The following is a 19,387-nucleotide window of genomic DNA, read 5'->3' on the forward strand; positions in this document are numbered from 1 at the left end:
GTCCCAGCTACTCAGGAAGCTGAGGTGGAAGGATCATTTGAGTCCAGGAGGTCAAGGCTGCTGTGAGCCATGATCACACCACCGCACTCCAGCCTGGGTGAAAAAGTGAGAACCTGTCTCAAAAATAAAAATAAATAAAAATTTAAAAAGTGTACCCTTTGATGAGTTTTGACATATATCTATCACAATGAAGATAATAAACATCCTTCACTCCTTTTCCTTGTGGCTCTTTGTAATCTATACCTGTCTCCATCTCTATCTACAGTTGTGATGGATAATTTTGTTTCAAGCTGCCTGGGCTAAGGGATGCCCAGATAGCTGGTAAAACATTATTTCTGGGTGTGTCTGTGACAGTGTTTCCAGAAGAGCTTAGCATTTGACTTGGTAGACTGCATAAAGAAGATCACTTTCGTTAATGTGGGTGAGCATCATCCCATCCATTGAGGGCCTGGATAGAAAAAAGGCAGAAGGGTGAATCTGCTACTCTTTGAACTGGGACATCTATCTTCTCCTGCCCTCAGACATCAGTGTTCCTGGTTTTGGGCCTTTGGTCTTTCACGAGGGCTTAGGCCATCACTTCCTTTGGTTGTCAGGCCTTCAGACTCACTCTGAATTAAACCACTGGCTTTCCTAGTTTTCCAGTTTGCAGATGAAAGATTGTGTGATTCTTGGCCTCCATAATCATGTGAGCCAATTCCTAGAATCTATCTATCTATCTATCTATCTATCTATCTATCTAATCTATCCACCCATCCATCCACCACCCACCTACCTACCTACCTACCTACCTATCAATCATCTGTCTATCCATCCATCCTATTGGCTCTGTTTCTCTGGAGAATCCTAATGCAACAGGCAACCACTGATCTACTTTCTGTCACTTTAGATTATTTTGCATTTTCTAAAGTTTTATGTAATTGGAATTGATAAAACTTTTGCCAATGCTGTTAGAGCTCCCCCCTCCCCTTTTTTTTTTTCCCCCTGAGATGTAGTCTTGCTTTGTCTCCCAGTCTCCCAGGCTGGAGTGCAATGGTGGGATGTCTGATCACTGCAACCTTTGCCTCCTGGGTTCAAGCGATTCTCCTGCCTCAACTTCCCGAGTAGCTGGGATTACAGGTGCCCACTACCTTGCCCGGCTAATTTTTGTATTTTTAATAGAGACGTGGTTTCACCATGTTGGCCAGGCTGGTCTCAAACTCCTGACCTCAGGTGTTACACCCGCCTCGGCCTCCCAAAATGCCGGGATTACAGGCGTGAGCCACGGCGCCCAGATTTAGGGCCTCCTCTTCTAGTTGCTTTGGCTACTTCTGGTCACATCCTCATCAGACGAGTTGTGTTGCTTTGAGGCAGAGTCTGTCTGAGGCTTGGCAAGCCCCCTTCAATCTACACCCTCCCCCACAACCCTTGCTCTAGAAGCCACTTTCCAGCCCCTTTTATTAAGTAACCTACTTGCTATGGCCTGAATGTGTCTCCCCAAAATTCATACGTTGAAATCCAATGTGAGACATTTGGGAGGTGATTAGGTCATAAGGTAGGAGTCTTCATGGACAGGATTAGTGCCCCTATAAAAGAGGCCCCAGATTGCTGCTTGCTCCTTCCACCACGTGAGGACACAGCTAGAAGGTGCTATGAACCAGGAAGTGGGCCCACACTAGACACTGAATCTGCCAGTACCTTGATCTCAGACTTTCCAGCCTCTAGAACAGTGAGAAATAAATTTGTTAGTTACAGGCTACCTAAAGTTCTTGCTATACTATTATACACCAGCCCAAATAGACCGAGACACTACTGTTCCTTTCCCTGTTTCCTAAAGCCATGAAGGACCCAGATAGGCTTTTATTTTTTTTCCCCTGCAGCTCACTGTGACCTTTCTAGTTTCTCTTCCTCTAACTGGATAATGAATGCCGCAGCCCTGTCCCCTGAGGGGTCCCTTCAGTTAGGTCCCTAAACACACATGCTGGGCTCCCTGGCAGCCAGAGAGGGCAAGTGGGGATTCAGATCCTGCCCCTTCGAGATCTCCCCATGCTAACTAGCACATTCTGCTTCTCCTATGTGTGTGTGTGTGTGTGTGTGTGTGTGTGTGTGTGGGTAACAACATGTATGTCAGAAGGATGGATAAAGTTCTTGCTATGTAAAGTTGCAAAAATAGGTTTTAGCATATTTATTTTGGAAAATCAACCTGTTTTAAAGTTTTATTTTTACTGTACAAAATAGGATTAAATATAAAATGACTTTTGCTCCAAAATATCATTATTTTTGATTTACCAGTCTTCTCATGAGAGGTCCCATTAAAAAAATTACCTTAGTCTAATCTCAATAATGTCAAACTAATTCATATCTGAAATGTGTGCTATTTCATCTTTAATATCCTTAATCTCAGCTTGGACTATTGTTAAATTAGATATTTTTTCACTTAAGAAAGCAATTTCTTTCTCTCTTTGTAGTAAGTCGGTAACCAATCTCCCAATGCGTAGTGTTAAATCATTTACTAATGGTTCTAAACGGGAAAAGTCCTTCTTTAGATTATACACCTTTGGTTTTAGATCATTTGCAAAAGTCACTGTCTTCAGAACTTTGGCTCTGTCACCTTCTAAGCTTAGAAATCTATCTGTATGTTTGTCGAAGTCACTCTTTAGTTCGGTTAGCGTCTTCTTAACAGAGTTAATTCTTTGTGAATTTTCAGATGCTGTCTTTCGGAGCGTTGCTGTTCGATCAATACTGCTTGAAAGAAGATCACCTATATTTTTTACTGTATTTTTTTCTACTTTCTCTATTTTATTTTCTAGTTCTTGCACAGAATCTGTCAATGATATTACATCAGTTACTAAACCTGAAATCCGTCGTATATCTGTTTTTACACTTGTAATCTTGAGACCAACATCTTTTGCCATGGAAGTTGTACTTTGGTCTACTTTTGTAATGTCTTGAGAAAGCGTCGTCAGACTGTTGTTCAGTATATCCTGTTTTTCAGTTATCCTATTGGACCAAGTTTTTACCTCATTAATTTCTTCCTGTAGACGCTTTAGATGAGCAATTATTTGAAAAGACTTCAATTGTTCCATGATAGCTTCAGATTTCTGCCACTATAAGAAAATATAATATCACAATGATTAAATGTATTAGAAGCTTACCATTTAAAATTCATCTTAAATTTTATATTTCTTTTTAATTTTAATTTTTTTTTTGAGACAGAGGCTTGTTCTGTTACCCAGGATGGAGTGCAGTGGCACGATCTTGGCTCACTGAAACCTCCACCTCCTGGGTTCCAGCGATTTTCCTGACTCAGCCTCCCAAGTAGCTGGGATTACAGGCACCCGCCCCCACCTCAGCTAACTTTTTTTGTATTTTTAGTAGAGACGGGTCTTCACCATGTTGGACAGGCTGGTCTCGATCTCCTGACCTCTGGTTATCTGCCCACCTCGGCCTCCTAAATCCATGCCTGGGATTACAGGCGTGAGCCACCACGCCCTGCCTTATGTTATTTTTTAACTACACTTTACTGTTCTTCTGGAAAGCATATGGTAAAAGACGACTTCAGAAGTAAGAGAATTTAGAACAATGTAAGTGAATTACTAATGAATAAGAAGGAAACATTAAGAAAATTTCATGAAATGTCCCTGGAAATTACATTTTTTACATTATAATATTTTCACAATTGGTCTTCTGTACAGTAATAAAATGAGCTACATGAGACAGTGATGTGGTTTTTCAGTTGCTGGAGAAGGGAAAAGGAAGTTTCCTCCAGTTGAGCTTTGCTAGGTGAGACAAGGCAACATAAGTTCTTTTTTATTTCAGCTTTATTAAGGTATAATTGACAAATTAAAATTGTATATATTTATTGTGTACAATGTAATATTTTGATATACATATCTACGCACATATTGTGAATGATTAAATCAAGCTAATGAACATATCTATCACCTCATGTATTTTTTTTTGTAGTAAGAATATTTAAGATCTACTCTCCTAGAAATTCTCTCTTTTTTTTGGAGATGGAAGTCTCACTCACTCTGTACCCAGGCTGGAATGCAATAGCCCCATCTCTGCTGACTGCAACCTCTACCTCCTGGGTTCAAGTGATTCTCCTGCCTCAGTCTCCAGAGTAGATGGTACCACAGTTGTGTGCCACCACGCCTGGCTGATTGTTGTTTAGTAGTGACAGGGTTTCACCATGTTGACTAGGCTGGTCTGAAACTCCTAATCTCAAGTGATTCGCCCGCCTCGACCTCCCAAAGTGCTAAGATTATAAGGCATGAGCCATCGCGCCCGGCCTCTTAGCAATTTTCAAGTATATATTATTATTATTTACAGTCATCATACTATACAATAGATCTCCAGAACTTATTCATCCTGTTTAACTGAAACTTTGTATTCTTTAATCAACATCTCTCAATTGTCCTACCCTGTCCCCTCCAATCCCTCGTAACCATTCTACTCTGTACTTCTATGAGTCTGACTTTTCTAGATTCCACATATAATTGAGATCATGCAGTATTTGTCTTTCTGTGCCTGGTTCATTCCACTTAGCATAATATCGTTTAGGTTCATCCATGTAGTCACAAATAACAGGATTTCCTTCTTTTTAAAGGGAGAACCGCATTTTGTGTGTGTGCGTGTGTGTTATTTATCATTCATCTGTTGATTGACACTTAGGTTGATTCTACATATCTTGGCTATTGGGAGTAATGCTGCAATGAATATGGGAGTGCAGAAAACTCCTTGACATACTGATTCATTTCTTTTGGATATATATCCAGAAGTGGGATTGCTGGATCATATGATTATTCTTAGTTTTTTTTTTTTTGAGGAACCTCCACACTGTTTTCCATAATGGCTATACTTTCCCACTCACAGTGTACGATGGTTCCCTTTTCTCCACATTCTCACCAACACTTGTTATCTTTTGTCTTTTTGATAATAAATATTCTAACAGGTGTGAGTTGATATCTCATTGTGGTTTTAATTTTTCATTTCCCTGATAATTAGTGATGTTGAGCATTTTTTTCCATATACCTGTTGGCCATTACTATGTCTTCTTTTGAGAAATGTCTATTCATGTCCATAGCCCATTGTTTAATTGGGTTTTTTTTTGCTATTGAGTTGAGTTCCTTATATATTTTGGATATTAAGCCATTCTCAGATTTATGGTTCATGAGTATTTTCTCCCATTCTATAGGTTGTCTCTTCACTCTGTTGACTGTTTCCTTTTCTGTACAGAAGATTTTAGTTTGACACAATCATATTTATCTATTTTTGCTTTTGTTGCTTGTTCTTTTCAGGTTCTATTCAAAAAAATCTTTCCCAAGACTAACGTCAAGAAGCTTTTTCCTCATGTTTTCTTCCAGCGGTTTTCAATTTCTGGTGTTACATTTAAGTCTTTAATTCATTTTGAATTGGTTTTTGTATATGGTTTGATATAAGGGTCCAGTTTCATTCTTCTGCATAGGATATCCAGTTTTCTCAACAGCATTTATTAAAGAGATGTCCTTTCCCTTTTGTGTGTTCTTGGCAACTTGGATGAGAATCATTTGAACATACACTTGTAGAAGTATTTCTGGGCTCTCTGTTCCATTAGTCTATGTTTTTTTTTTAAATGCTAGTATCACGCTGTTTGGATTACTACAGCTTTGTAATATATTTTGAGATCGGGTAGTGTGATGTCTCCAGCTTTGTTCTTTTTGCTCAAGATTGCTTTGGCTATTCGGGGTCTAAGGCAACTGCAAATAAGTTATAGCAAATGCTAGAATGAAGGGACCAATGTCCAAGACTATATGTCTACGCTTTATTGGCCTGTAACTTTTATGAACAGTTTTCTGGCCTATCTAACTATCCATGAGACCTTGAATAATTCAAATTCTCAAGTTCCTAGTATGTTGTTAGGCATGCAAAATATGTGGAACATAAAGATGAGTATAACTCGAGTTGTGGCCTCAACTTAGTTTAGTAGAGAAGACAGATAAGTAAAAGAAAAGAATTTCCAAGGTTCTAAAATTCTGATTCCAAATGCAGCTGTTTTTCAACTTTTGTATGTTTCAATGTCATCCTTCTTCCCCACTATACATTATGAACTGAAAGCTCTTAAATTGTCACCTTGATTTAACTTGGACACATTAACTGATAAACATTTGGAGCCACCCAAGTGTCTGGCAACATCTTGAGTTGTTATTTTTGTTGTTGTTTGTGGTGATGGTCCTGTGTCTGTGCACACACATGTGCGTGCCTATATAGCAGTGTTGGGGAGTTGAGTATTTTATCGAACTTTAAATATTTGACATTTTATTGCATTGTGCCATCAGTTAATAAAATGAAGAAGGGAAAATTACATAGCGATAAGATGGGTAGATCTCATAAACCACACAAAGTTGGATAAAGTCGTACAATTAAAACAAAGATGGAAATCAGGTAAGACTATTTAGCTTCAATCAGAAGATTAGCCTATGGACTGTGTGCTCAATTATGAAGAAAAATAAATTAAGAAACAAATGTAAAATGGCTAGAAATACATTGCTAATGCGTATGCCCAAAGACAGATATACAGTAATTACTCTGGAAAAAGAATCCCATTTATAATGTGTAAGTCAATCATTTGACTTTTGCATATTTAACTTTCAGCTTGTTTTCTAGGAAAGTACTATGTTGTAAAGTAGGAAATTATAACTTTCTATTAATAACCAAAACTAGTTTGATTTGACAGCATATACTGTACTACAGTATGTCCTAGTATGATCAAGAACAGTCTCTGCTTTTAGGGAGTTTGTAGTTTAGTTTGGGACACAGAATGTCGATAAATGTGTTACTTAAAATTCAGAAAAGAAGAAATAAAAAAGCTTGAGTCCAGGAGTTTGACGCTGTAGTGTGCTATGATTGTGCCTATGAATACCAACTGTGCTCCAGCCTGGGCACATAGCAAGACCCCCATCTCTAAAACAAAAAAATTGAAATTAAAATTTATAAAAACAAATAGACTGTAAAACATTTTTACAAAATTAAATATGCAGTTTAATCTAAAGATATCTTTTTTTCTAAAATAATTGTGTATTTCTTCAATGTTTTCTTATCAATTATCTTTCTTAAAAGAAAAAATTGAGGCCAGGCGCGGTGGCTCACGCCTGTAATCCCAGCACTTTGGGAGGCCGAGGTGGGCGGATCACAAGGTCAAGAGATCGAGACCATCCTGGCTAATGCAGTGAAACCCTGTCTCTACTAAAAATACAAAAAATTAGCCGGGCGTAGTGGTGGGCGCCTGTAGTCCCAGCTACTCAGGAGGCTGAAGTAGGAGAATGGCGTGAACCCGGGAGGCGGAGCTTGCAGTGAGCCGAGATTGTGCCACTGCACTCCAGCCTGGGCGACAGAGCCAGACTCTGTCTCAAAAAAAAAAAAAAAAATTTGAGATGGGGGTCTCACTATGCTGCCCAGGCTGGTCTTGAACTCCTGGCTCAAGTGATCCTCCCAAAGTGCTGGGATTACAGGCGTGAGCCACCACACCTAGCTTGAATTATCTTTCTTAAATTGTATTTGGATTACTTGGCTAATGCCAACCTTTTGAGATTATTTTGGTTATCATACATTTAGTTTTACTTAACACAAATAAAAATGAATTATGCTCAGAATATTATTTTGAGGGCAGCTTTAAAAAGAAGCATCCATATAGTTGCAAAATAATTATAATGAAGTACAGAAATGGGACAGTAGGACAAAATAATTCTAAGTAGCAACCCCCCCACTTCGCCCCATCATAAATGTTTAATTTCAAAATACACTTGAGGATTTTTCTCCTCAATTGCTTTATGCTTAAATTAATTATTGGTGGATAAGGTGGCCCAAAATGTGTTTTTTGGTAGAGAAGTGAGTTTGCGAAATGTTCCTGTGGGTATGACATTAAGCGGTAGCCACAAATAGGAAGGAAACCAAGAAGTGATTGCAAAATCACATTTTATTTTTAAGGAGGAAGTTTTGCAACATAGTGTATTTGATGAAACAATCTCCCAAGGGAGAAAGGACTAGACGGCTACTTTAATCTATTTCATTACCAGGTTATCATTTATTAATGTATCTACTCTGGTAAAAGTAGCTTAATAGCAATTAAACAATTAAGATGTTGATGAATGAGCTTAGCTTATTCTTAGAAGGATCAGATTATTAGGAAGAAGCTGTTAGTAAACCTCTTTGTTTCACTTGGTTGTTTATAATAGCAATGTATCATGAACTTCTATTGATCTTTATGAAAATATAAGCTCAATACAGTGTGGTAATAGTCTACAGATTGTTGTATTAAGTTATTTTAAAAATTACTTCGGGTTTGGTTAACCTATTTGCCTAGGATGGATAGAAGAGTTAGAGTCTATCAGTAGCTGAAAACAGCACATCAGTGAAGGCTGGGGATGGTGGCTCACGCCCGTAATCCCAGCACTTTGTGAGGCGGGGTGGATGGGTCACTTGAGCTCAGGAGTTCAAGACCAGCCTGGGCAACATGGTGAAACTCCATCTCTACAAAAATTACAAAAATAGCCGGGCTGAGCTGGGAGGATGGCTTGATCCTGGGAGGCAGAGGTTGCAGTGAGCTGAGATCATGCCACTGCACTCCAGTCTGGGCGACAGAACCAGACCCTTTCTCAGAAAAAAAAAAAAAAAAAAAAAAGTACATCAGTGATTTGATTATTTATTTATTTATTTATTTATGAGATGGAGTCTCACTCTATTGCCCAGGCTGGAGTGCAGTGGTGCAATCTCTGCTCACTGCAACCTCTGCCGCCTGAGTTCAAGTGATTCTCCGGCCTCAGCCTCCCAAGTAGCTGGGATTACAGGCATGCACCACCACACCTGGCTAAGTTTTCTATTTTTTTTTTTTTTTTTTTTAGTAGAGACGGGGTTTCACCATGTTGCGAACTCCTGACCTCAAGTAATCCGCCCACCTCAGACTCCCAAAGTGCTGGGATTACAGGCATGAGCCACTGCCCCCGGCCAGAATATTTATTAAATTCCTATCATATATTCAAGGTATGAGGTTAGATGCTGTCCTGTAATGTTAAACATTGCCTGGATCTACAAGCACAGCAACATGGTTCAAGAATATGATTTCTAGGTCCAATCTGCTTTCTAAAAACTTGCTAAAGGATTTTTTTTTTTTGAGACGGAGTCTTGCTCTGTCGCCCAGGCTGGAGTGTAGTGGCGCCATCTCAGCTCACTGCAACCCCTGCCTCCTGGTTTCAAGAGATTCTCCTGCCTCAGCCTCCCAAGTAGCTGGGATTACAGACGCTCACCACCACGCTCACCTAATTTTGTATTTTTAGTAGAGACACAGGTTTCACCATGTTGGCCAGGATGGTCTCGATCTCCTGACCTCGTGATCCACCCACCTCAGCCTCCCAAAGCGCTGAAATTACAGGCGTGGGCCACTGCACCCAGCTAGGTTCTTTGAATTCTATTAAAGGACCTGGAAATTTTATTGATCTGTATAATTTAAAACCATTTAGATCAGGCGCAGTGGCTCACACCTGTTATCCCAGCACTTTGGGAGGCCAAGGACGGAGGATCCGTTGAGGTCAGGAGTTTGAGACCAGCCTGGGCAACATAGAGAGACCCTCACCTCTACTTTTTTTTATATTAAAAAAAGGGTAAATAAGTAAATAAAACCACTTAAAGCCAGAAGGCATCTTAGGGATTATTGATATAATTCTCTCCTTTTACTATTTAAAACTAAGCCCTAGTGGCCGTGCGTGGTGGCTCACACCTGTAATCCCAGCACTTTGGGAGGCCGAGGTGGGTGGATCACCTGAGGTCAGGAGTTCGAGACCAGCCTAGCCAACCTGGTGAAACCCCATCTCTACTAAAAATACAAAAAATGAGCCGGGTGTAGTGACAGGCACCTGTAATCCCAGGTACTTGGGAGGCTGAGGCAGGAGAATTGCTTAAACCCAGGAGACGGAGGTTGTAGTGAACCAAGATTGTGCCACTGCACTCCAGCCTGGGCGACACAGCAAGACTTTGTCTCAAAAAACAAAACAAAACAAAAAAAACCTAAGCCCTAAAATAAAGTGCCCAGAATATGCAGTGGCAAAACCTATTAATAGATTAGAGGAGTACAGCCTAGGACTCTTCAGCACTGCTTTTTCCTCTTCTCCAACATTTATTCATTTATTGATTCCTTCTCATGCTCAAGGGCCAAACAATTTTAGAGCACAGCTACAGCTTTTGAGGGACTGAGTCTGGTTTAATGGCAACATGGTAGAGAACACATTTGACTCAATTATTGCTTTTTGAGTTATCGAGATAGTTCTACTAACAGCAGATTTGTTGTGATTTTTCTCCCCTAGTTGAACAGTAGCAGGCTCCATGGTGTAGTGAGATGTCCTTGGCCTCTGGAATTGAACAGACCTAGGTCTACAGTGTGACTGCAAGATTCCCAATGTTCCTAAGTCTCCATTTCCTTATTTGTAAAATGGGTCTAATAGCTAGTAAAGGTGTAGTAAGGATTAGTGATAATGACTGGCACAAGGTAGGTAATCAATATATAGAGCTGTTATGATGACGATAATGAAGGCTGGACGCGGTGGCTCATGTCTGTAATCCCAGCACTTTGGGAGGCTGAGGTAGACGGATCACGAGGTCAAGAGATCGAGACCATCCTGGCCAACATGGAGAAACCTCATCTCTACTAAAAATACAAAAATTAGCTGGGCATGGTGGCGCATGCCTGTAGTCTCAGCTACTCGGGAGGCTGAGGCAGGAGAACCGCTTGAACCCGGGAGGTGGAGGTTGCAGTGAGCTGAGATCGCACCACTGCACTCCAGCCTGGGGACAGAGTGAGACTCCATCTTAAAAAAAAAAAAAAAAAGGAATGATTATGATGAATGTACATCTCCTAGAAATGCTTGACATACGTGTGGGTATGTCATTTTAACAGGTGCTGAAGTGTTAGTTCTCTCCTCTCCTGCTGTGTAAAGCTGGGGTGGAGTATTTTGATTTGTATTAAATTAATAGTTTATAGGCTGGGTATGGTGGCTTACACCTCTAATCCCAGCACTTTGGGAAGACCAGATGGGAGAACTGCTTCAGCCCAGGAGTTTGAGACCAGCCTGGGCAACATAATGAGACTGTTTCTACAAAAAAATAAAATTAGCTTGGCATGGCGGTGTGCACCTGTAGTCCCAGCAATCGGAGGAGCTGAGATGGGAGGATCCCTTGGGCCCAGGAAGTTGACACTGTGGTGAGCAGTGCTCACGCCACTACACTCCAGCCTGGGTGACAGAGTGAGACCCTGTCCCAAAATTAATTAATAGCTTATAAATTGAAATGAGCAGGTGCTAGGAAAATTTGTAGAGCTTTTGTCAACTGTGCAAATATGGGGTAAGTCTACAAAGGATGTTTTTTTTTTTTTCTTATTGAGTTTGGTAAATTTTCAGCATCATTACTGTGTAATGGCATCATATCAAAATTTGAACAATGTTATAGATTCATACAAAGGTCTACAATTAGGTTGAGAAGAAAAATAATACTACTAATTTTGCATCTTATGGGTTTTTCTATGAAGCCACACAGGCTAATAAATCAAGATTTTTGGTTATAAAATATACAAGTATAATTAGTCAATAGTTTCTGATCATTAAGCAAAATTTAAGGCAATATTACATTTAAAAATTATATATTCAAAAGTTTAAAAATAATTAGGTGCTTGTATTGTAAAAGTGATTTATTCCTGTTAACATTAAAAAAATTGATCCAGTACTTTTACTTTTTTTTTTGAGATGGAGTCTCACTCTGTTGCCAGGCTGTAGTGCAATGGCGTGATTTTGGCTCACTGCAACCTCTGCCTCCCGGTTCAAGTGATTCTCCTGCCTCAGCCTCCCGAGTAGCTGGGATTACAGGCGCCTGCTACCATGCCCGGCTAATTTTGTATTTTTAGTAGAGACGGGGTTTCACCATATTGGCCAGGCTGGTCTTGAACTCCTGACCTCAGGTGATCCGCCCACCTCGGCCTCCCAAAGTGCTGGGATTACAGGGGTGAGCCACTGCGCCCAGCTGATCCAGTACTGTTATGCTTTTGAGACAGGGTCTTGCTCTGTCACCCAGGCTGGGAATGCAATGGTGCAGGTCACTGCAACCTTGAACACCTGGGCTCAGCCTCCTGCGTCGCTAGGACTACAGGGATGCGCTTTTTTTTGACTTTTAGTAGACATGAGGTCTCACCATGTTATCCAGGCTGGTCTTGAACTCCTGAGCTCAAGCGATCCTCCCACCTCAGCTTCCCAGAGTGTTGGAATTATAGGAGTGAGCCATTGTGCCTGGCCTTACTCCTCCTTACACTTTTTTTTTTTTTTTTTTTTTTTTTGTAGGGACGAGGTCTCACTATGTTACCCAGGCTGTCTCAAACTCCTGGGCTTAAGCCACTCTGCCTCAGCCTCCCAAAGTATTGGGATTACAAGTATGAGGCACTGTGCCTGGCCACTTTATAAGAAATTAATTGACATAAAATTTATTATCAGTTACAAAGATACAAAAATGTGTTTTAGGATATTGGTAATTTTCCCTAAAGAAAAGACTAACAATGTAATTTAATATTTGATACACAGGAAAGTTTTTGAAATTTTAAGCATCTGTGTTAAATAAATGAATGGAAGAAAGAGAGAAAGACAAATTAAGTACATCTAAATCTCTCTAATAATTTCTTAATAGGAAAACCTCTTCATAAATACAGGATATATCTATCTAGATATCTATACATACATACAAACGCATATATACTTTAATAGTTTTCTCATGTTATACTTGTAGAAGTGCAGTTTTCTTCCTTTCCCTTGTGTCATTATAGAGAACAGTAGCCACCTTGTTTCCATTTACTTTCAGTAACCATTACCATGGTATATATAAGTTCATAATAACCTCATATTAAATGTGGTGATCGGTGAGAAAAAAATATTTAAACGTAAAGGATATAAGATAAGAGATCACATTTGCCTTGACAGGATGGAGGTTAAAACAACAAAGTTCCAGCTTACTTTATAATCTATTTTATTACCATTAATATAAAAGTAAACAAATAGAATTTTGTCAGTGCACGCAAATAAGAGACATTCAGAAGTCAAGAAGTGTAATTTTAAGACTGCAAAAATTAATGCTATGCCCCTTAATAACAGAACTCTCCAGGCTTATTTTCATGATTCACGCTGTCTACCACAGGCCCTCCTAACTCCAGTGGAGAAGGAGTTTGGGGGTTCTCCAAAAACTTGCAAATTTACATATTAAAACTACTTGACCACAACTACCTTTTTGTAACTGACTGCTTTCAAGTTCTTTGTGTTTAATTCCATCAAAAACTGCATTATAAAACTGGTAAGGTTATTGACAAAGAAACAAGAACAAACTTCCATATTGCAGTTGACTACATTATATAATTTCAAATAAAATAAAATCAATTCATAAAACAAATTTAGTGGTGTGGTTTGGGAAATCTTTAAAATGACGTATTTTTAACTATCATAGTTATTATCATAATTAATTATCAGAGTTATGTTACTTTTCCCTCAAAACAGGCCACAGGCTTATTTTTATTTATTTATTTATTTATTGAGACAGAGTCTCACTTTGCCACTCAGGCTGGAGTGCAGTGGCGCGATCTCGGCTCACTGCAAGCTCTGCCTCCCGGGTTCACACCATTCTCCTGCCTCAGCCTCCTGAGTAGCTGGGACTACAGGCACCCACCACCACGCCTGGCTAATTTTTTGTATTTTTTAGTAGAGACAGGGTTTCACCCTGTTAGCCAGATGGTCTTGATCTCCTGACTTCGTGATCTGCCCACCTCGGCCTCCCAAAGTGCTAGGATTACAGGTGTGAGCCACTGCGCCTGGCCTATTTAAGTAAACCATCTAGAGACCATGGATCTAGCAAACTCATGTCTAACACAGTTGGAACCTAAAACTCAGGTATATAAAGATATTTCAAAGATTTATATACACATAATTCCTAAGAAAGGCCTTATGTAAGAACATACTTACTCTGATTTTAAAAGTCTTACAAGTATCTGTAACACAGTTTAGAACCTTAACAAAAACTAAAATGTTTCCCAGGCTTTAGAGTTTTCAGAAAGTGCATATTAATTCATAGCAAAGGCACCAGGCTCTCCCTCAGGCATGTTATCTTTTATTTTACACAAAATTCCCATGAACTTGGTTGTGTGGATTCTTAACCTGCAGTGAATTACCTAAGAAAGTGAACTGGCTGAGGCAGGCACATTACCAACCAACCTGACAGTAAGTTCAGGTGACAGAAAAGGTATGAGACATAGGTTTGAAAATGGCAAATTGGGGTCATTTAGTGAAGTGGTAAATACTCTTTATTAGCCCCTGGAGACATCAATATATGTGGGTACAATATAATAGGTGAAATTAATGATGATGTTCATTAATGCTTTAAAAAACATTAAAAATATTAAGTATCTTGTTTTAAAAGTAGAGAAATATTTTTAAAGAACTATTTCTATTTCAAATAGTTACAATGAAGTAAGTTTTAGTGCTTAAAAAGATAAGCTTTGATTATGTGGATAATCCATTTGTGTGGACATCTCATTTATTTTCCAATAATGTAGGATAAGATGAGGCGTATCAAAGTAACTCAAAATCAATGGACTAATCAATTTATGTATAATGATATGGTTCATCAGAATAAATGTCATGAATTTAAAAATCACCACCAATTCCTTTATTTTCTATATTATATTCTTTTAAAGTTCCCTTTTCTCCTGTACTTGAGTATGCTATAAAATCATGAACTTTTTCTTTTAGAATATCCAGTTCATTTTGCATCTTTAATATGCTATTATCATACTGAATTCCTTCAAGGGTTTTCTGCATCTCCATTATTTCAGACACTGCTTTCAGCATATCATCTTCCATATTAAACATCTGCATAGTCAAGTCTTCCATTTTCTTTTCTGTTTCTATCAGATCCTGAGAGACTCTGAGAACAGAGTGAATAGCACTTTCAATTGTTGGCAAATGTGTCTTGCATTCTTCAACTTTGGGTTCGTAGTCGGAAAGTTTATTAGTCAGATCTTCATCTCTGGCAAAGAGGGCATGCTGTTCCTCTTCTAACTTTTCAATTGCCTTTGTATCAGAGCCTAGCTGCTCCTCTACTCGCAGGAGATCTTCTTCTTCTTGTCTTTTTACTGTTCTAATATTTCTTAGTGTGCTATCTTCCAAATCTTTTAGCCGTTCAGTGAGCAATTTTATTTCCTGCTCAGCTGAGTTAATTTGGACAGTTACTTGAGAATGTATATGTTTTGCTTCTGATTTGAAAATGTCTGTATTAATGTTCATTTCTTCTAGGCTTCTCTTCCAGAAATCCGTAATATTCTGAAATTTCTCATTAAGGCTTTGCATCCTTTGAGTGAGCACCTCTTCATTATTTTGAATGTCATGCATGATATCTTGGAGGTTGGATACTTCCTGCTCAAACTGGGTCATCAAAGACATGGATGATGTAGCTTCCTGCAGGATGCTTTCAGTAGACTCAAGCTGCATTTATAACACAAAACAATTCCCAAGGCTACTTAATAATTTTCATATTAGAGAAACACACTTTAACAATCAGGAGCATAACACATGCCACGTTAAAATTCTGAAGATGTCTAAAATATCCAAGTATATCAGAATCAGACTGACAAAGATATTTATTACATTAATAGTTTTCACAAATACGTTAACCCTGCATTGTTTTATTTATTTATTTATTTTTTAGACGGAATCTCACCCTGTCACCCAGGATGGAGTGCAGTGGAGCAACCTCAGCTCACTGCAACCTCCGCCTCCCAGGTTCAACGTATTCTCTTGCCTCAGCTTCCTGAGTAGCTGGGATTACAGGTACGCGCCACTATGCCTAGCTAATTTTTGTATTTTTCGTAGAGATGGGGTTTCACCATGCTGGCCAGGCTGGTCTTGAACTGTTGACCTTTAGTGATCCGTCTGCCTCGGCCTCCCAAAGTACTAGAATTACAGGCGAGAGCTGCCGCGCCTGGCCAGCACTATGTTAAAAAAAAAAAAAAATACACCTGAACACACAATCCTAGATATTTCAGCATTTCTATGGAAGCATATACAAGAGAAAAGTAATGTTAAAGTGCCTGAAATAGATGCAATTTCCTCCTTTTAACTCTAATGGTAAGTAACTTTGATGTCAGTTTTCTTTTTCTTTTTTTTTTTTTTTTTGAGACGGAGTCTCGCTCTGTCGCCCAGGCTGGAGTGCAGTGGCGTGATCTCGGCTCACTGCAAGCTCCGCCTCCCAGGTTCAAGCCATTCTCCTGCCTCAGCCTCCTGAGTAGCTGGGACTACAGGCGCCCGCCACCACACCCGGCTAATTTTTTGTATTTTTAGTAGAGACGGGGTTTCACCGTGTCAGCGAGGATGGTCTCGATCCCCTGACCTCGTGATCCGCCCACCTCAGCCTCCCAAAGTGCTGGGATTACAGGCGTGAGCCACCGCGCCCAGCCCTCGATGTCATTTTTATGGTTTTTTGGCTTTTTAGAAACTGCAACTTTGTATACAATTTGATATCTTTCCTAAAATCCTATAATTCTGGAAGGGTTTCTGCCAAAAAATTTTTTTGACCAACCTCTTGCAGAGAAAGTACTAGAATCAGGTCTTACAGATACAAAGGCAACAATGAATTAAAAAACAGTTTAGTGAGACAAGTCAAATTGAATGGTAAAGTGTTTTAAGTATTTGTAAATTATGCTAAGCCTCCGGCACCTCCTAATCTGTATCTGGAATATAGAAGGCCAAGTCATTGACCTCTTTTAGTCTACACTTAGATAACAGCTTTAGAGACTACAGGAAGGCCTAGAAATAATCATTAATTTATTATGTGCTTGCAGCATTATGCTGAAGACATAATACTGAACAAGATACAAAATACTGCCCTTAAGCAGCTTTGTTTAATCGACGAGAAAGACAAGTGTATATGCACTATGACAGGTGAAGAGCTATGGAAGCACTCAGGTGGAGACCCAACCTAGACTTCAGTGATGAAGGAAAGTATTTTAGAAAAAGTAATATCTAATATCTGCTTCCAGTTGCTTGCTCTCTAAATTAGCCTACACACTACTACTAGACTAAGCTTTTAAAAACTGGTATGCCTATCATGGTACACTGTTACAAAACCTTTGATGTTTCCTAATACTTCTAGGATAAAGTCTCAAATTCTCTAACCTCTCCCTATGCTATCCTCCTCTCCTCTTTATTTAGTTACATTGTCCTTACTTCAAGGCTCAGACCGGATCTCAGCTCCTCAGAGCAGCATTTCTTCCATAGCCCTAGCCCTGACAACCTGAATTCCTGTAGCACCTATTACACATATATTTGCCACATATTTGCCTCTTAGCACATACAATTAAAAAATTTTGAGGGTTCACTCTGTGCCAGCCTTGTGTGAGACAGTGGAGACAAATACAGCATAGTCCTTGATTTCACAATTTGATTGGGAGACAGTGTTTAGATCTTCCACATCATATATTCTAGAGTCCCAACAAGATCTACTGAGTACCCTGTGTGAGGTAGTTCCATTATCAGGTACTAGGGAAATGGAGATAAAAGATGCAGTGTATGCTCTAAAGAGGAGTAAAGGAGATAAACTAGCAACCAAAAAAATCACAGTAGATTATAAGTAGCGTCACAAAAGAATTAGCACAGGGGGCAATGGATGCTTTGAGGAGAGATAAAAAGTTAGGAGGGCAATGCGAAAAGGCCTGGAAGTGGCTCCAAAATTGGAATCATTAACAGACTGATTGATGAATTAGCAGGGTGAAGATGTGAAAGCTTCTAAATTTCAAAGGAGAAGAGACCATGTCTTATGCCTCTGTGTAATCCCTACATCTCAGAGTACAAAGAATATGTTTGTTGATGCTTAGGAAGAATGACCCTAAGCCTTCTAGGTCCACCCCAATCAAGACTTAAAGAGTATGCAACAAGAATGACTAACACCACTCTGAAATGTTGTTTAAAATTTATTTTAAGGGTTGGGCATGGTGGCTTACGCCTTAATCCCAACATGTTGGGATGCCAAGGCAGAAGGACTGCTTGAGCCTAGGAGTTTGAGACCAGCCTGGGCACAAAGCAAGACCCTGTCTCTATCAAACAAACAAACAAACAAACAAACAAACAAAATTAGTTGGGCATGGTGGTGTGCGCCTGTAGTCCCAGCTACTTGGGAGGCTGAGGTGGGAGGATTCCTTGAGCCCAAGAGTTCAGGGTTGCAGTGAGCTATGATCATGCCACTGCATTCCATCCTTGGTGACCGGGCAAGACCCTGTCTCAAACATACATACATACACACACACACATTTAAAGAAAACAAACAAAAAAATCCAAAGAAATAAAAACCTCTTTTAAATGTACACATACAGCCATAATACAAGTTCCTTTTAAAATCAATTATGAGAAATACTAACCATTAACATGGTTAGGTTTAGTTGTTTTATTAGCAGTATTTTGAAGAGGCAAGCTTATCCTCACCTAAGGTAATGTCCTGTTTAGGAGGTTCATCAGAGCCTCACTATAATCTGAAAGCAGTATACCCCAAGTAAGTGCAAGATGTTATAGATTTAATCTGCAAATATTTAGTGACTAGTATGCCACAGTAGCTAGCATTTATGGGCCACCAACATATTCTAATCGTTTTTCATTTTTATTTACTAAAAAAATTTTTTTTGTAGAGATGGGGTCTCACCATGTTGCCTGGGCTGGTCTCAAACTGCCAGGCTCAAGTGATGCTCCCAACTTAGCTTCCCAAAGTGCTGAGATTACAGGCATAAGCCACCACACCGGGTCTCATTTTTTCTTAAAGAAAGAGCTAGTAGGGCCAGGTGCGGTGGCTCACACCTGTAATCCCAGCACTTTGGGAGGCTGAGGCGGGTGGACCACCTGAGGTCGGGAGATTGAGACCATCCTGGCTAACACAGTGAAACCCCATGTCTACTAAAAATACAAAAAATTAGCCGGGTATGTTGGCACATGCCTGTAATCCCAGCTACTTGGGAGGCTGAGGCAGGAGAATTGCTTGAACCCAGGAGGCAGAGGTTGCAGTGACCAGATCTCCCCACTGCACTCCAGCCTGGGCAACAAGAGCCTGGGCAAAAAAAAAAAAAAAAAAAAAAAAAAAAAAAAAAAAAGAGCTAGTACTTTATTAGTGCTTGATTGTTTTCAAAGAATTTGTATATAAAGTAAGTCCTCACTTAACGTCATTGGTAGGTTCTTGGAAACTGACTTTAAGTGGAACTATTCAGAGCAGCTCCTCCAACAACGTTGTTTCGATGTCCTTTCATTACAACGTAGATGAGAAAAAAATTGGTTTCATTATACACTTCACTTAAAATCGTAGTTTCCAGGAACCTATTGATGAC

At 39.5% G+C, this 19,387-nt stretch overlaps 1 protein-coding gene across 3 annotated transcripts in view, besides 1 other annotated feature; it reads right to left on the minus strand.

Moving 5' to 3' along the window:
- Positions 1,552 to 1,741: an enhancer, noted in NCBI's record as "active region_6848". NCBI's record gives its function as "activates an Ori minimal core promoter by ATAC-STARR-seq in GM12878 lymphoblastoid cells {active_cell/tissue: GM12878}" and the evidence as "EXISTENCE:reporter gene assay evidence [ECO:0000049][PMID:35858748]".
- Positions 2,147 to 19,387, minus strand: part of IKBIP (IKBKB interacting protein) — a 31,385-nt gene continuing 14,144 nt past the window's right edge. For 2 of the 3 annotated variants that reach the window (NM_201613.4, NM_201612.4), the window contains one exon: positions 2,147 to 3,083. In NM_201613.4, the coding sequence (NP_963907.1) occupies positions 3,050 to 3,083 (34 nt within the window). In that variant the 3' untranslated portion in view covers positions 2,147 to 3,049. Of the gene's footprint in view, positions 3,084 to 12,991; positions 15,510 to 19,387 lie in introns of those variants that run through there. The other variant, NM_153687.4, reaches the window with a different exon arrangement.

This window comes from Homo sapiens, chromosome 12, assembly GCF_000001405.40.
Source record: "Homo sapiens chromosome 12, GRCh38.p14 Primary Assembly".
Classification (NCBI taxonomy): domain Eukaryota; kingdom Metazoa; phylum Chordata; class Mammalia; order Primates; family Hominidae; genus Homo; species Homo sapiens.